Source organism: Homo sapiens, chromosome 11, assembly GCF_000001405.40.
Source record: "Homo sapiens chromosome 11, GRCh38.p14 Primary Assembly".
In the NCBI taxonomy this organism is placed as follows: domain Eukaryota; kingdom Metazoa; phylum Chordata; class Mammalia; order Primates; family Hominidae; genus Homo; species Homo sapiens.
Window position 1 is genome coordinate 130508023 of NC_000011.10, and position 12424 is coordinate 130520446.

Genomic DNA, 12424 nt, shown 5'->3' on the forward strand with positions numbered 1-12424 from the left:
AAGGCATGAGTGTATTTTGAAATGTGAGAAGGACATGAGATTTGGGAGGGGCCAGGGTGAAATGATCTGATTTGGCTCTGTGTCCCCACCCAAATATCATGTTGAACTGTTATCCTCAATGTTTGGGGAGGGGCCTTGTAGGAGGTGATTCGTTCATGGGGCTGTTTCCGCCTTGCTGTTCTCATGATAGTGAGTGAGTTCTCATGATAGTGAGTGAGTTCTCATGTGATCTGGTTGTTTGAAGGTGTGTAGCACTTCCGTTTTCATTTTTTCTCATGCCACCATGAGAAGACATGCTTACTTCCCCTTCGCCCTTCTGCCATGATCATAAGTTTCCCAAGGCCTATCCAGCTATGCCTCCTGTACAGCCTGTGGAACTGTGAGTCAATGAAACCTCTTCTCTTCATAAATTACCTAGTCTCAGGTAGTTCTCTATAGCAGTGTGAGAACTAATACGCTTCTTAAACACCATTCCAGCAGAAGGGCACTTACTTATTGCCATGTGGAAGCAGAAGCCTTGGCTGCCCACTTGACCTCTCAGGACACCTGAGAGAGGGTGATATGGTTTGGCTGTGTCCCCACCCAAAAATCTCATCTTGAATTATAATCCTCATAACCCCCACATGTCACAGGCAGGACCAAGTGGAGGTAATTGGATCATGGGGGCGGGTTCCCCTATGCTTTTCTCATGATAGTGAGTGAGTCTCATGAGATCTGATGGTTTTGTAAGCACCTGGCATTTCCCCTGCTTGCACTCCCTCTGTCCCGCCACCCTGTGAAGAAGGTGCCTGCTTCTCCTTTGCCTTCTGCCATGATTGTAAGTTTCCTGGGGCCTCCCCAGCAATGCAGAACTGTGAGTGAATTAAGCCTCTTTCCTTTATAAATTACCCAGTCTCAGATATTTCTTCATAGCAGTCTGAGAATGGACTAATCCAGAGGGATCCTCATTATGGCTGAGTGGGGGTGGGATTTCCAGCTCCTCACTAGGCCTCCACCGATACCTTTTATCTGGGAGGGGTAGGAGTGCCTGTTGCTGCTTTCCATGTTTCCTGCTGTGACATAAACTCTGCACAGTGGGGGAGGGGTATCTCATTGTTGCTACATGCATGTGAATTCTAGGTCCCTTTTTGTCTCCACCTACACTCTGAGGGAGGTTATCTTGTAACCATCCAATGAGAATAAAAGTCCCAGTTTCTTTCTTGGCCTTCTGTGACTGCACCCTGCAGGGGTCTTGGTGGTGCCTGATATCAGCCTGGTGAGGATGGTGAAGAGTAGCTCCCCTCTGGCCTTTGCTGGTGTGGGTGTGAGTGGAGTTACAGTTTTTTCTGGGATGTTTTGGCTGGAGTAGAGGAGTTATTTTCTAAAAGTGTTTGGTCTTGCTAGGCTGTTCCTTTCCTTGGGCTAGAGAGAGCAGGCCTTTGCTGGGGGGCTTGCCTGTCTTATTTTCTCTTGGCTGTATTCTTCAGTTCCAACTGTGGTATAGTTGAGGCAAAAAGAAAGCCCAGATTGCTCATCACTGTTGTCCTTGAGTCCCAAGATTCCTAGCTGATTTGCCTTTTTCTCTCCAGCTTTCAGAGTTCTCTTATGTTTATATTATATAGAGTATTCAGGGCTTTTAGTTGTACTTAGTGGGAGGAATAGGAAGAAGTATGACTACCATATCTTCCATAAAGCGGAAATTCAGCACTCCTTTTGAAACCTCACGAAAATTACTGCAATGATCTAAATTAGGGCTTGGAATCCTGGGGGAAGGGAAGCTTTATAATTTTTTTAATTTAATTTTTTTTCCCAAGACTGTCATAAAGCAGCATAATTATTTTATACTTTATTAAGTGCACATGTATTTAACACTGAATATTAAGATTTAATAGCCAGGAACGATGCAGGCTGCTTTACCAATGTCATCTTATTGCATCCTCACAGTCAGCCTCTAGGGCATTGCTATTACCCTGAGTTTACAGATCAGGAAACTGGGTCTTGGTAAGAAGGTTACCAAGGGTTCCATGCATGGTGAGGGCAGGGCTGGGCTCTGAATCTGCCCCTGATTCAAAGCCCAAGATTCTCATCACTGTGTTTTCTGTTGGGAGGCCTGGCCGGCTGCTGGCTCACTGATGGGTTGTTAACTGAAGGAGTTACGTGGTTTTGCCAGAATCTTCCTTGCTGTGATCCTTGGCACCTGTCAGGATGCCACTGTCCCAGGAAGACACTTGGACATGATTCTTAGAGGGTCAGGTTGTGCCCAGGATCTGAGGGCCATCTCTACCCTGTTTCCAGTCTCCAAACCCAAACAAGTCATTTTCTGTGGATGAGGTCTGTCTTATCTGTCTGCCTCACAGGAAATTAGACTTGTTTTGACCAGGCCACTCAAATCTGTACTTGACTTAGTTTGTATCCCCGAGTTTCTGAAAAGTTTCTAGAAAAGAAAAATCTTCCTTCATGTAAGGAGCTCTCTGGCTGTGCCCATGAATGTCTGTAAAAGGAGGAGTTTCCCTTGCAGGGTTTTCAGCTCAGGAGGCCTGGTTTAAAAACAAACATCACGCATTTGTCTTGGATCTTGACCAGCTCCACCAATCTGATACTGACTTTAAAGTGCAGTCGTGACTGCAAAGCATGTGGTAAAGACGAAAAAGGAAAACCCTTCCTACTTCACATCTCTGTGCCTGCTGGGGCTAAGAGCCCCCTTGCACACTGTTGCCTGTGTGAGGCCTGCTCCTTCTGGGGGAGCGGCTTGTGCTGGGGGGAGCCAAGGGCCCGATTGTTCTCCTTGGGCCACGCCTGGGGCTTATACTAGTGCTGCAGACATGAAATGCAGATTGTATAAGTCCCTGGGAAATTTAGCTGTATGTGAACAGACATGGGAGTTCTCTCTGATTCCTACCCCTGTGTTTTAGAATCTGGGATGAACTTACAGGCAGAAAGAATTGTGTTGAACTTGAGGAGATGAAGAAAAAGGGCTTCGGATTAGAGACATGCTAGTTCAACCTCAGCTTCTCCAGTTGTAATTTTGGGTCACCTGGAGGGTTCTTTAACCTTTTCAGCTTCCTCAGCTTTGAAGTGAGGATAGCAATAATTGACTGCAGAGGAAATGCTTGGTACATAGTAAGTGCTCAATACGCAGCTTCTGTGTTAGTCAGGGTTCTCTAGAAAAATAGAACCCATAGGAGACAGCTATTCCTAGATATCTACAGATATAGCTATTTACGGATAGATGTATATATATAGGATATCTATAGATAAATATAGGAGATATCTATCTATCCATATCCTATATATATCTATCTATAGATCCATATCCTATGTATATCTATCTACCTATAGATATACATAGGATATATATATCTATCCTATATATCTACCTATCCATGAAAAATATCTATCTATCCATCTATCTATCTATCTATCTATCGTCTATCGCTATCTGTCTATAGATATAGCTACAAGAGCTAAAGTAGCTATATCTATAGATAGATAGACAGCTATAGCCATAACATATTATGGCTGTATCTAGCCATAAATAGGTATATCTATAGATAAATTGATATCCTATCTATCTATCATCTATCTATTTATCTATCTATCTATCTATCCATAGCTATATCTATAGATATTGATTTCTATATTTGTCTCTATATATGCAAGCTGGAGACCCAGAGATGCAGGTGTGCAATTCTGTCTGAATTGGAAGGCCTGAGAAGCAGAGGAGATGATGTTCAAAGACAGGAGAAGAGGGATAACCGAACTCGAGAGAGAGAAAAGTTGGCCTTCCTCAGCCTTTTTGTTCTTTTTGGTCCCACAATGGATGGATTGAATGCCACCTGCCCACACTGGTGAGGGCGTATCCTCTTTACCCAGTCTGCTGCTTCAATTGCTAATTTTTTTTCAGAAACACCCTCACAGACACACCCAGAAATAATGTGTCACCAGCTATCTGGGTTTACCTTGGCCCAGTCATGGTGACACATCACATGAACCACCACAGCCTCTGCGCTAGATCACTTTGAGTGCATACAACTCATGGCAGGATCAAAATGCAGTTTCATATTTCTTGTGTCTCATTGTCCCTTTAAAATTATTCAGTGGGTGCAATATTGCCTGCCCACCCTAGAAGGAAACATGAGGTACATCCTGTCAACACTTTAAGTCCCTAATCTCAGTTCAGAAATGGCAATGTCCAGTGCAAGATACTAATAAACATTTGGAACTAGATTTAATATTCAGTCTTCCCGATTGGCTTTAGGCAAGAGCCACAGTGCAGTCTTCTGAGGAATGCCTGGAAGCCCCTTCTCACCAGACTTGGGGTAAGAAGGTAACCCCACATGGGAGAGGGGTGAGATCGCAGCTCATCCACGGCTCTCTCCACAGAAATCCTGAACCCTTCCCCACAACTCTCTGTCGACTTCCTGTATTACTGATCTGCCCAAATGTTCCAGGGTGGTGCAGTTTGTTCTGAAACATTCACTGTTTGAGGTCCCCACACTGGGACTGGTCTCATGCTCACAGTGGTCCCAATTTTTATTTTGTAGGCTCTTCTGCTGAAACTTTTATTTTGGTATCTTTTTATACATTTAATAGGCCCAGCATTTCAATTCTTTTAAAATTGTAGTTACACTCCCCCTCCCTGTCAAGTCCTCGTTGATTTCTTCCCTCTCTGCCCTCCTGACAAATGGCCAGGGTGTGGTTACCCCATAGCCCCTCTCTGAGGCTTACCTTGTTCCCTAAAACTTTGGAGAACTGGCCTCAAGGGATTCTGGAGTTTGTGGAGTTCTCTGTGCTGAACTCCAGACTCAGCAGGGGGTGTCACAGGTGGACGCTCAGTTTAGAGAGGACGTCACCAGAGCCTCAGCACAGAGGATGGCTGGATATCCGGTGTCTGGTCCAGGTCGGAAATAGGGAAGGCTGCACTTGGGAGGTCAGAAGGGGTAACATTGGAGAAGGCTCTTCTCCAGGCAGCTGGTTCCCTGGGCTTCCCCAAATGGCCTGGAGTTTTTGGGCTAATTTTCTGTCCCCACCTTGTGCCTGGGGAAGAACCTCAGTAGGGACTGTGAGGGGAGAAGAGGGCAGGTGGGTAGGAAGGAGAAGTTGGGCATGGAGCTCTTTTTCCAGACTGCCCACAGAAGCAGATGAATGGGCCCCTGGCTGGTTCCCATTGCCCCCGGCTCAGGATGTCTGGTCGTGAAAGTTGGCTGTAGCCTGAGCTCTGAGCTGGCCTGCGGAGGAGCCCTGCCCATCCTTCCCTATCTGGGTTGATGCCTGTGTGCTGGCTCAAACAGAGCTCACACCTAGTTCTCATGCTGGGGCTCAGGCCAAGTGGCCTCACTTCCCCTTCAGCCTCTTCATGGCTCCAGCTGATGATTTATGGCTGCCCATTGACTATTAAAATGGCTCAGCTCTCAGGAACATCTGCTGTGTGGTAGAGCAAGCTGTGTTGTTTGCAGGGACATATGGGCGGGCTCTTCTGGGGACAGATTAGGCTCATGGAGGGACAGATTCCTGGACTTTTGCTGCCTGGGGAAAGCCAGGCTCCCTACTAACTCAGCAGAGGGCAGACAGACCTTCTCCTTCCCTTCAGCCATTGCCCTACTGTGTGCAGGTTCCTGGGGCTCTTTCTGCTTGGCCCTCTCACCCCCAGCACCTGCCATCCTATTCCAGTTCTCATGGAGGGAGGGAGGGAGTCCAGATCTGTGGTTCTTAAACCTGGAGAGCTTGGGAAAACACAGATTGCTGGGACCTATCCTAAGAATTTCTGATTTAGTAGGTCTAGGGTCTAGAGGCCAATATTTTGCATTTCTTTTTTTGAGATGGACTGTTGCTCTGTTGCCAGGCTGGAGTGCAGTGGCGCGATCTTGGCTCACTGCAACCTCCGCCTCCCAGGTTCAAGCGATTCTCCTCCCTCAGTCTCCCAAGTAGCTGGGACTACAGGCGTGCACCACCACGCCCAGCTAATTTTTGTATTTTTAATAGAGACGGGGTTTCACCATGTTGGCCAGGATGGCCTCCATCTCTTGACTTCATGATCTACCCGCCTCGGCCTCCCAAAGTGCTGGGATTATGGGCATGAGCCACCGCACATGGCCCAATATTTTGCATTTCTAACAAATTCCCATGTGATGTTGATGCCATTAATAGGTCTGGGAGCCACACTTTGAAAACCACTGGTCTTGACCAAACCTGGAACTGGGAACCTCTCTTGTAAGGTAAGAGAGCCACCAGGGCTGAAGTGGAGGACTGATTGGCTCCGGGCTAGGAAGATGAAAGATAGATATGAGTGAGAAAGCTCTGAGATGCTGAGTTCTAAGCAGAGATTCAAAGACTCAGATTGCCAAATACCAAGTTGTTCTGGAGTATAGATCTCTTAGGATTCAGAGTGGGCTGGAGGCAAATTGCACAGATTGATTTAAGTGAGAGTCAGCTCCAGATCAGTCTCAGAACCCAAATAACAGAATCTGGGCAGAGAGCCCACACAGCTTGGTTTGTGGGCAGATGGTTGTATGCTCTTGCAATCTGGGTTCTGTGAGTGCATATGACCTGCCCAGTGAGCCCACAGGAAGAGTCCACATTGCAGATGTTGGGTCATCTGATAGAAGGACTGTCTACTAGACAGGCCAAGGGACTCCAATATTGGCTCCCCAACTCTGCTCCAGGGGGGGCTTCCTGCCTTTGGGCACCTTCTTCCCATCTCCCCTATCACCCCCACTCCTCAGAATGAATGGAGGTTCTGCTTCCTCATCACCACCTTCAGTGAAGGACCAGGTTCAAAGCACCTGTTCTGAATCCAATCTGCAGGTTCCTGAACAGGGGCCCAATGGCTTGACAAGGTGGCTGAGTCAGCTACCCGTGGGTCCCATTTCCATCACGAGCTCTTAGGAGGCAGATGTGGCCTCTGTCCCTGTTTAGCATAGTGCTGGGTGCAGTTCACGCTGAGGCTGAAAAAAGTGATGCAGTGATTTGAAGCACAGTGCTTGGGCTAGGGGGAGGAGGTGACATCTGAGCCAACACGGCTACTCATTTTTCAGCAGAGCTGAAGGAGCAGGGCAGGTTGGGCTTGGGCCGTGGACCAGCATAGAGATGGACATCTTGAAAAGTGACACCCTGCACTGAAATCCATCCTTGAACGCTTCCTGGCCAGGCAGCCTGGGAAGGCCATGTGAGGACACCCTCTTCCTGCAGAAGCTCCCTCTGTCCTCCTTCCTTGCTCCTCCCTTGTTGGTTAGGCTTTGGTAATTCTCCCTTCTCCAGCTGCCACCCCTTGGATGTGAAGTTTGTGGCCAATGTAGAGATTCATGAAGGTGAGAGCGGGGAGAAGGGGAGCAGTCAAAGTTCGTTCTGTGTCGCTTTTTGGTGTAGCTGGGTATTGCAGAGCAAGAGAAATAACAGAGGAGAAAATGAAGGCTGGACAAAAGCTATCAGCTTGGCCAAGGTAGCTATTAGTAGGCAGAACTGGGATTTGATTCCAGAAACTCATGGCTCTGGAGCCTGGATTCCATTTGTTCCACCTCATCTGAGCTGTCCTTTGAGGCTGTATTTAGAGTCACCATTCCACACTGGGGTAGCAGGAGGGCTATTGTGCTTTTGCATACAAGTTATACCTGTGAGGATGTTAGGTCTACAAATGTAGAAATAGCTTGGAGCCAAGCTGTCGATAGAATAATTGCCACAGTATGTTTTTGATTTTCGAGGTCAGTAGACAGTGTCTTTAATTCTCTCCTACTTACTTTCACTGGGTTCAAAGACTTACAGTAGAGAGGACAGAGGAAACTCTAGGGATTCCTATATATATGTGTGTGTGTGTGTGTGTGTGTGTGTGTGTGTGTATATATATATATATAAAATCTGGAAGTAGAACCTCTCTACTTTAAACCAAAATGAATGATTTTTCCTTAAAAGGCAAACTCCTCATGACTTGCCCTTCAAAGGCTTTGCCCTGAGCCCTATAACCAGGAGGATCAAATGCCCTAGTTTGCCCCAGTTTCAATTTACATCTGTCATCACAGCATAATTACTAACAATGCCTCCTTGCACTCTCAGAGTTTGCCAGTTTGGATGACAAATTTCCCACAGCGACTGGCCTTTCAGCTCAACATTGAGCATGCACTTGGGGGTAGGTGAAGAGGGTAAGTGAGCTGAGCACAGATGAAGCAGGGCTGGGATTCCCTCAACTCCCCCAGCTCCTAGCACCCACCTCTGTCACACCAGGGGCCACCAGGCGCAAAATCAAGACCTGGAGCCAGAATGGGGAGAAAAGCAGAAGAGCTTCCCCTGTTCAGCTGCCTCTCTGCTTTCCAGGAATTTCAGGAAAATACCTGCCCTGTGTTTCTGCCCTTCCAATCCGCCCATCCTCAGCACCTGGGTTTGATGTTTGCTCTGTGGAGGGAAGTGCTGGCTGAGGCCCCCAAGGCACAGTGCATGCTGGCGACCTCAGCTTTTCCTAAGGCTGTCAGGCTGAGTGCCATCCAGGGTCTGAGGCTGCACTTCCTTTCCTTGGCTATTTTCAGAGCATGTTGCTGTTGGGGAAGGGAAGGCCCAGAGGGGCTGGAGGTGGGGTGTGGTGTCTCCAGGGACCCCTGGAGCTGCAGGGAATGAGGCTTCTCCAGCAGGAGGGGCCTCAAGTGCCCCAGGCCCCCAGAGCACAGATATTTTGGCAGGTCCTTCTGAGGAGGCAAAGCATGGCCCCTGGCTTCTCAGGAGGTGAATGAGCTATTGTTTTGAGACTCCTGTTCCTCCACTGGCAGCTCAGGCATATAGGCCGAACACAGAGTACAATGTTCTGCGGTGGTTGCAGCCTATACTTGCATCTGAGCGCTGCCCTTTACCTGCTGTGTGATTTCAGACCACCTGCTTACATTCTCTGAGCCAGAGGGGGGCTCTTCTTCATAAAATGGGGAGAATAATAATCACCCTGCAGTTTGATGTCTGCATTAAATTAAAGAAAGTCCTCTATGATGCCTCGCACAGGGAAGGTGCTCAGTTACCACCTCCTCCTCGTGGCTCAAAGTCATTTGCTTCATTCATTTAACATTTTGCAGATCTGTGTGGAGCCAGGTATAGCTCCACCTACACTTTCTTGAGGAATCTACTTTCATAAAGTCAGTGCTTAATTAATATTCAAGACTTTTAACGTCTATTTCCTTCAGGTCACTAGTTCAAGCCATGAATGAATGAATGAAAAAGAAACCACTTGCTTTGTTAAAGATGTTACATGCTGTGGGGGAACAATCAAGGTGAATCTGCCTTCAGGAAGTTTTCGGGTCTCACAGGAGAAAACATTCTTCCAGCAATTATAGAAACTAGAAAGGTTGGGCCCAACCAAAGAAGCACTGTGATTAGAGAAGAGAAAGCTGAGGCTTTGTTAGGAAGGATGGGATGGGGCCTTGGGCAAGTGACTTCACCTCTCTGAACCTCACCTTCCTCCTCTCCACTATTGGGATAACACTACCTACCTCCCAGAGGGAATATAAATATCCGCTCTGTCGCCCGGGCTGGAGTGCAGCGGCACGATCTTGGTTCACTCCAACCTCCGCTTCCTGAGTTCAAGCGATTCTCCTGCCTCAGCCTCCCGAGTAGCTGGGATTACAGGCACCCGCCACCACGCCTGGCTAATTTTTGTATTTTTAGTAGAGACACGGTTTTGCCATGTTGGCCAGGCTGGTCTCGAACTCCCGACCTCAGGTGATCTGCCTGCCTTGGCCTCCCAAATTGCTGGGATTACAGGAGTTAGCCAGGGTTCCTGGCCAAGACGTTGTTTACTTACGTCAATTAACAAGCTGCCTGACACTAAGCAATCATGCTATGGCACTTTTCCGTATGCGGGGGTATTCTCAGCCATACCCCAGATGTAGCACCACCACTGTTCTCCTCAGCAGCCTCTAAGCCCTTCTGGCACATTTCCCCTTCTAGTCTTCTCTAGGTTACTTTTGGTCACTTGACATGCTTTCCATCCATCCCTTTCCCTGCCCAAGCGCTTTAAGACCCCATTGGAGTCCCATCTTCCCATGAAGACTCCTCAAGTTCATCTCCTCTGAGCTTCTTCCTTGGCTTGGCATGCAGCCTTGGTCCTAAAACCGCCTTTGCAAAATTATGACAGTGAGAAAAATCTAACATGGCTGCCTCCATCTTGCTTCTAACCTCCAAGCTGTCCTTGGTCATTACCGGGCATGGGCCAACCTAACTTTCAGAGGAATTTAGTTTATAGTTTAACCTTAAAGCAAGGATGATAATAGTGCTTCTCAAAACTAAACTGCCTTCATAAAACTAATGAAAGGCCACAAGGTTAGGGTTATGAGAGGGGCCTGAATTCTGCTAAGGTGTAGCTGTGGTTAAACGATAACCAGCCGTTGTTCCAGAGGTCACAAGATTTATAACATCCCCAATCACTCCTGTACATAACATCACTATTGTAGAACCTAAGATTGGCCTTTTGAGATGTCTTTTCAGACTTTTGCATTTCTGATGATTGGCTAATTCTACCTAGACTTGTGACTCATGATACAACGAGACCCATGGCCTCCACCCAGAGGTGGACTCAGTGCATAAGGACCAATTTCCACACCTCTGTAATTTCATCCCCCAACCAATCAGCACTCCCTAGCCCCCTGCCCACCAAGCTATCCCTTGCCCAACTCCTAACCTTGGAACTTCCAGGGAGATTGATTTCAGTAATAATTCTGTCTCCCACGTGGTATGGCTGGTCTTGCATCAGTTAAACTCTTTCTTTATTGCAATGCCATGGTTTTGGTGAATTGGTTTTGTCTGTGTGATAGGCAGGAAGATCCCACTGGGCTATGTCTTCTCTCTCCATTGGATGGTTGGATTCTTATAGATAGAATAGTTGGTTCCTTATAGACAGGAAATCTTTCTTTTTGTTCTCCTCTTAGTGCCCAGGGCTGGGTCATGCATATAGTGATATCTATGGATAACTTAAAGAACGTCAGAAACGGCCTCCTCCTAGAACCAAGTTTTTGTGGGAAGACAAACTAGAGAACAGCTGAGTGATTTTCCACAAATTCTTCTATTTCCCAGCAATAGCTTCAAGATCACATCTCTCCTATCCTCTACCCCATGTTTCCCAACACAGAGTTCTGGGTTTGCAGAAACCCAAAGGATTAGGGGACCCCAGGGTCCAAGGAGGTAGCAGAAAGCTGTGTTTCGGCATTCTGGAGCTTGATGCTGGGAGTATAAACATCCTTGCCAGACAAAATATTGGCCCCAGAGCAAAGGCTGGTGGCCACCTTGGCCTTCTTTGCCATTCAGGCCTGGTATCTGCAAGTAGCCCTTTCCTAGCCAAGAACAACAAGCCATGGCTTAGAAGGAACGACATGTGTGAGTATGTGTAAGAGTGCAGAGAAGGCTGAAGGGGAGGGGAAGAGGTGGGGCCAAAGCTTCATACAGGTTGAACCTCCAAGTTTGGGTAGAAGTGGAGATATGGGAACTGCATGAACATGTTTTTAGCTATGGCATTCTTCCTTCAAACTAAAGTTTACTTAGTTTGTACATAAAACAAACCAAGGTGGAGCCGCTCAGGGTGAACCTGGGGCTGAGAGCGGACCGTGGAATCTCCACCAAGCACACGGCCAGAATTGCTGGCATCACAGACCTCATTCTTCTTGCCAAAAAAGGAGGGATATTAGTGGGTTTTTTTTTCTGTTTTGTTTTTGTTTTTGTTTTTTTTTTCTTCCTAAAATTCCTAGAATAGATAGTACTTGACATTTAGCGTGCACTTGGGTTTCCCCATCTTTCCAGGGGGTTATGCAACCTGAAGGTCACATTCCTGCTTTAGGCTCCGGTCTCTCCCTTCTGCTATAGCACAACGCGTCTGAGTGTGATGGCGAGTGGATGGAAGGTTCTGCAGGCTCAGAAAAAGACTGTTAAGTGGGCCATGTACTTAACAGCATTGTTTTTGTCTGGGGTGGAGGCAGCAGGATACCCCGAGAGGGACTGTTGTGTGTATCATGGTGTGTGAGGTGTAGCGATCTGGGTGTCTGTGTGAGGCCTGGTCTCTCCCTTCTGCTATAGCACAACGCATCTGAATGTGATGGTGAGTGGATGGAAGGTTCTGCAGGCTCAGAAAAAGACTGTTAAGTGGGCCATGTACTTAACAGCATTGTTTTTGTCTGGGGTGGAGGCGGCAGGATATCCCGAGAGGGACTGTTGTGTGTATCATGGTGTGTGAGGTGTAGCGATCTGGGTGTCTGTGTGAGGCCTGGGTGGAGGCCTGTGCACGTCTTCTGTGTGTGGTCTTTCCAGCCTCACACTCACGGAAAGCTCTGGTTTGGATGTCACTCTCAGCATTAGAGGCCTTTGGGCTGCTTCCAGCGGAGCTGGTTGGTGTTGAAGGATTATGGGTGATGGCTGTGGGAATGGCACCGCCTGCCTGGCCTTGGAGGTGGCTGGTTTCCTCTGTATCCCTGGGGGTGGGCAGTGGTGTCAC

The 12424-nt window shown here is 47.6% G+C and overlaps 4 annotated features.

Moving 5' to 3' along the window:
* Positions 926-1427: an enhancer, noted in NCBI's record as "NANOG hESC enhancer chr11:130378843-130379344 (GRCh37/hg19 assembly coordinates)". NCBI's record gives its function as "activates a minimal SCP1, AML or CMV promoter by ChIP-STARR-seq in naive H9 embryonic stem cells {active_cell/tissue: H9 hESC(naive)}" and the evidence as "EXISTENCE:reporter gene assay evidence [ECO:0000049][PMID:30033119]".
* Positions 3192-4391: an enhancer, noted in NCBI's record as "P300/CBP strongly-dependent group 1 enhancer chr11:130381109-130382308 (GRCh37/hg19 assembly coordinates)". NCBI's record gives its function as "activates an origin of replication core promoter dependent on BRD2, BRD4, P300/CBP, MED14 and CDK7 cofactors, with strong dependence on P300/CBP, by STARR-seq in HCT116 cells {active_cell/tissue: HCT116}" and the evidence as "EXISTENCE:reporter gene assay evidence [ECO:0000049][PMID:35650434]".
* Positions 9020-9539: an enhancer, noted in NCBI's record as "OCT4-NANOG-H3K4me1 hESC enhancer chr11:130386937-130387456 (GRCh37/hg19 assembly coordinates)". NCBI's record gives its function as "activates a minimal SCP1, AML or CMV promoter by ChIP-STARR-seq in primed H9 embryonic stem cells {active_cell/tissue: H9 hESC(primed)}" and the evidence as "EXISTENCE:reporter gene assay evidence [ECO:0000049][PMID:30033119]".
* Positions 11866-12367: an enhancer, noted in NCBI's record as "H3K4me1 hESC enhancer chr11:130389783-130390284 (GRCh37/hg19 assembly coordinates)". NCBI's record gives its function as "activates a minimal SCP1, AML or CMV promoter by ChIP-STARR-seq in primed H9 embryonic stem cells {active_cell/tissue: H9 hESC(primed)}" and the evidence as "EXISTENCE:reporter gene assay evidence [ECO:0000049][PMID:30033119]".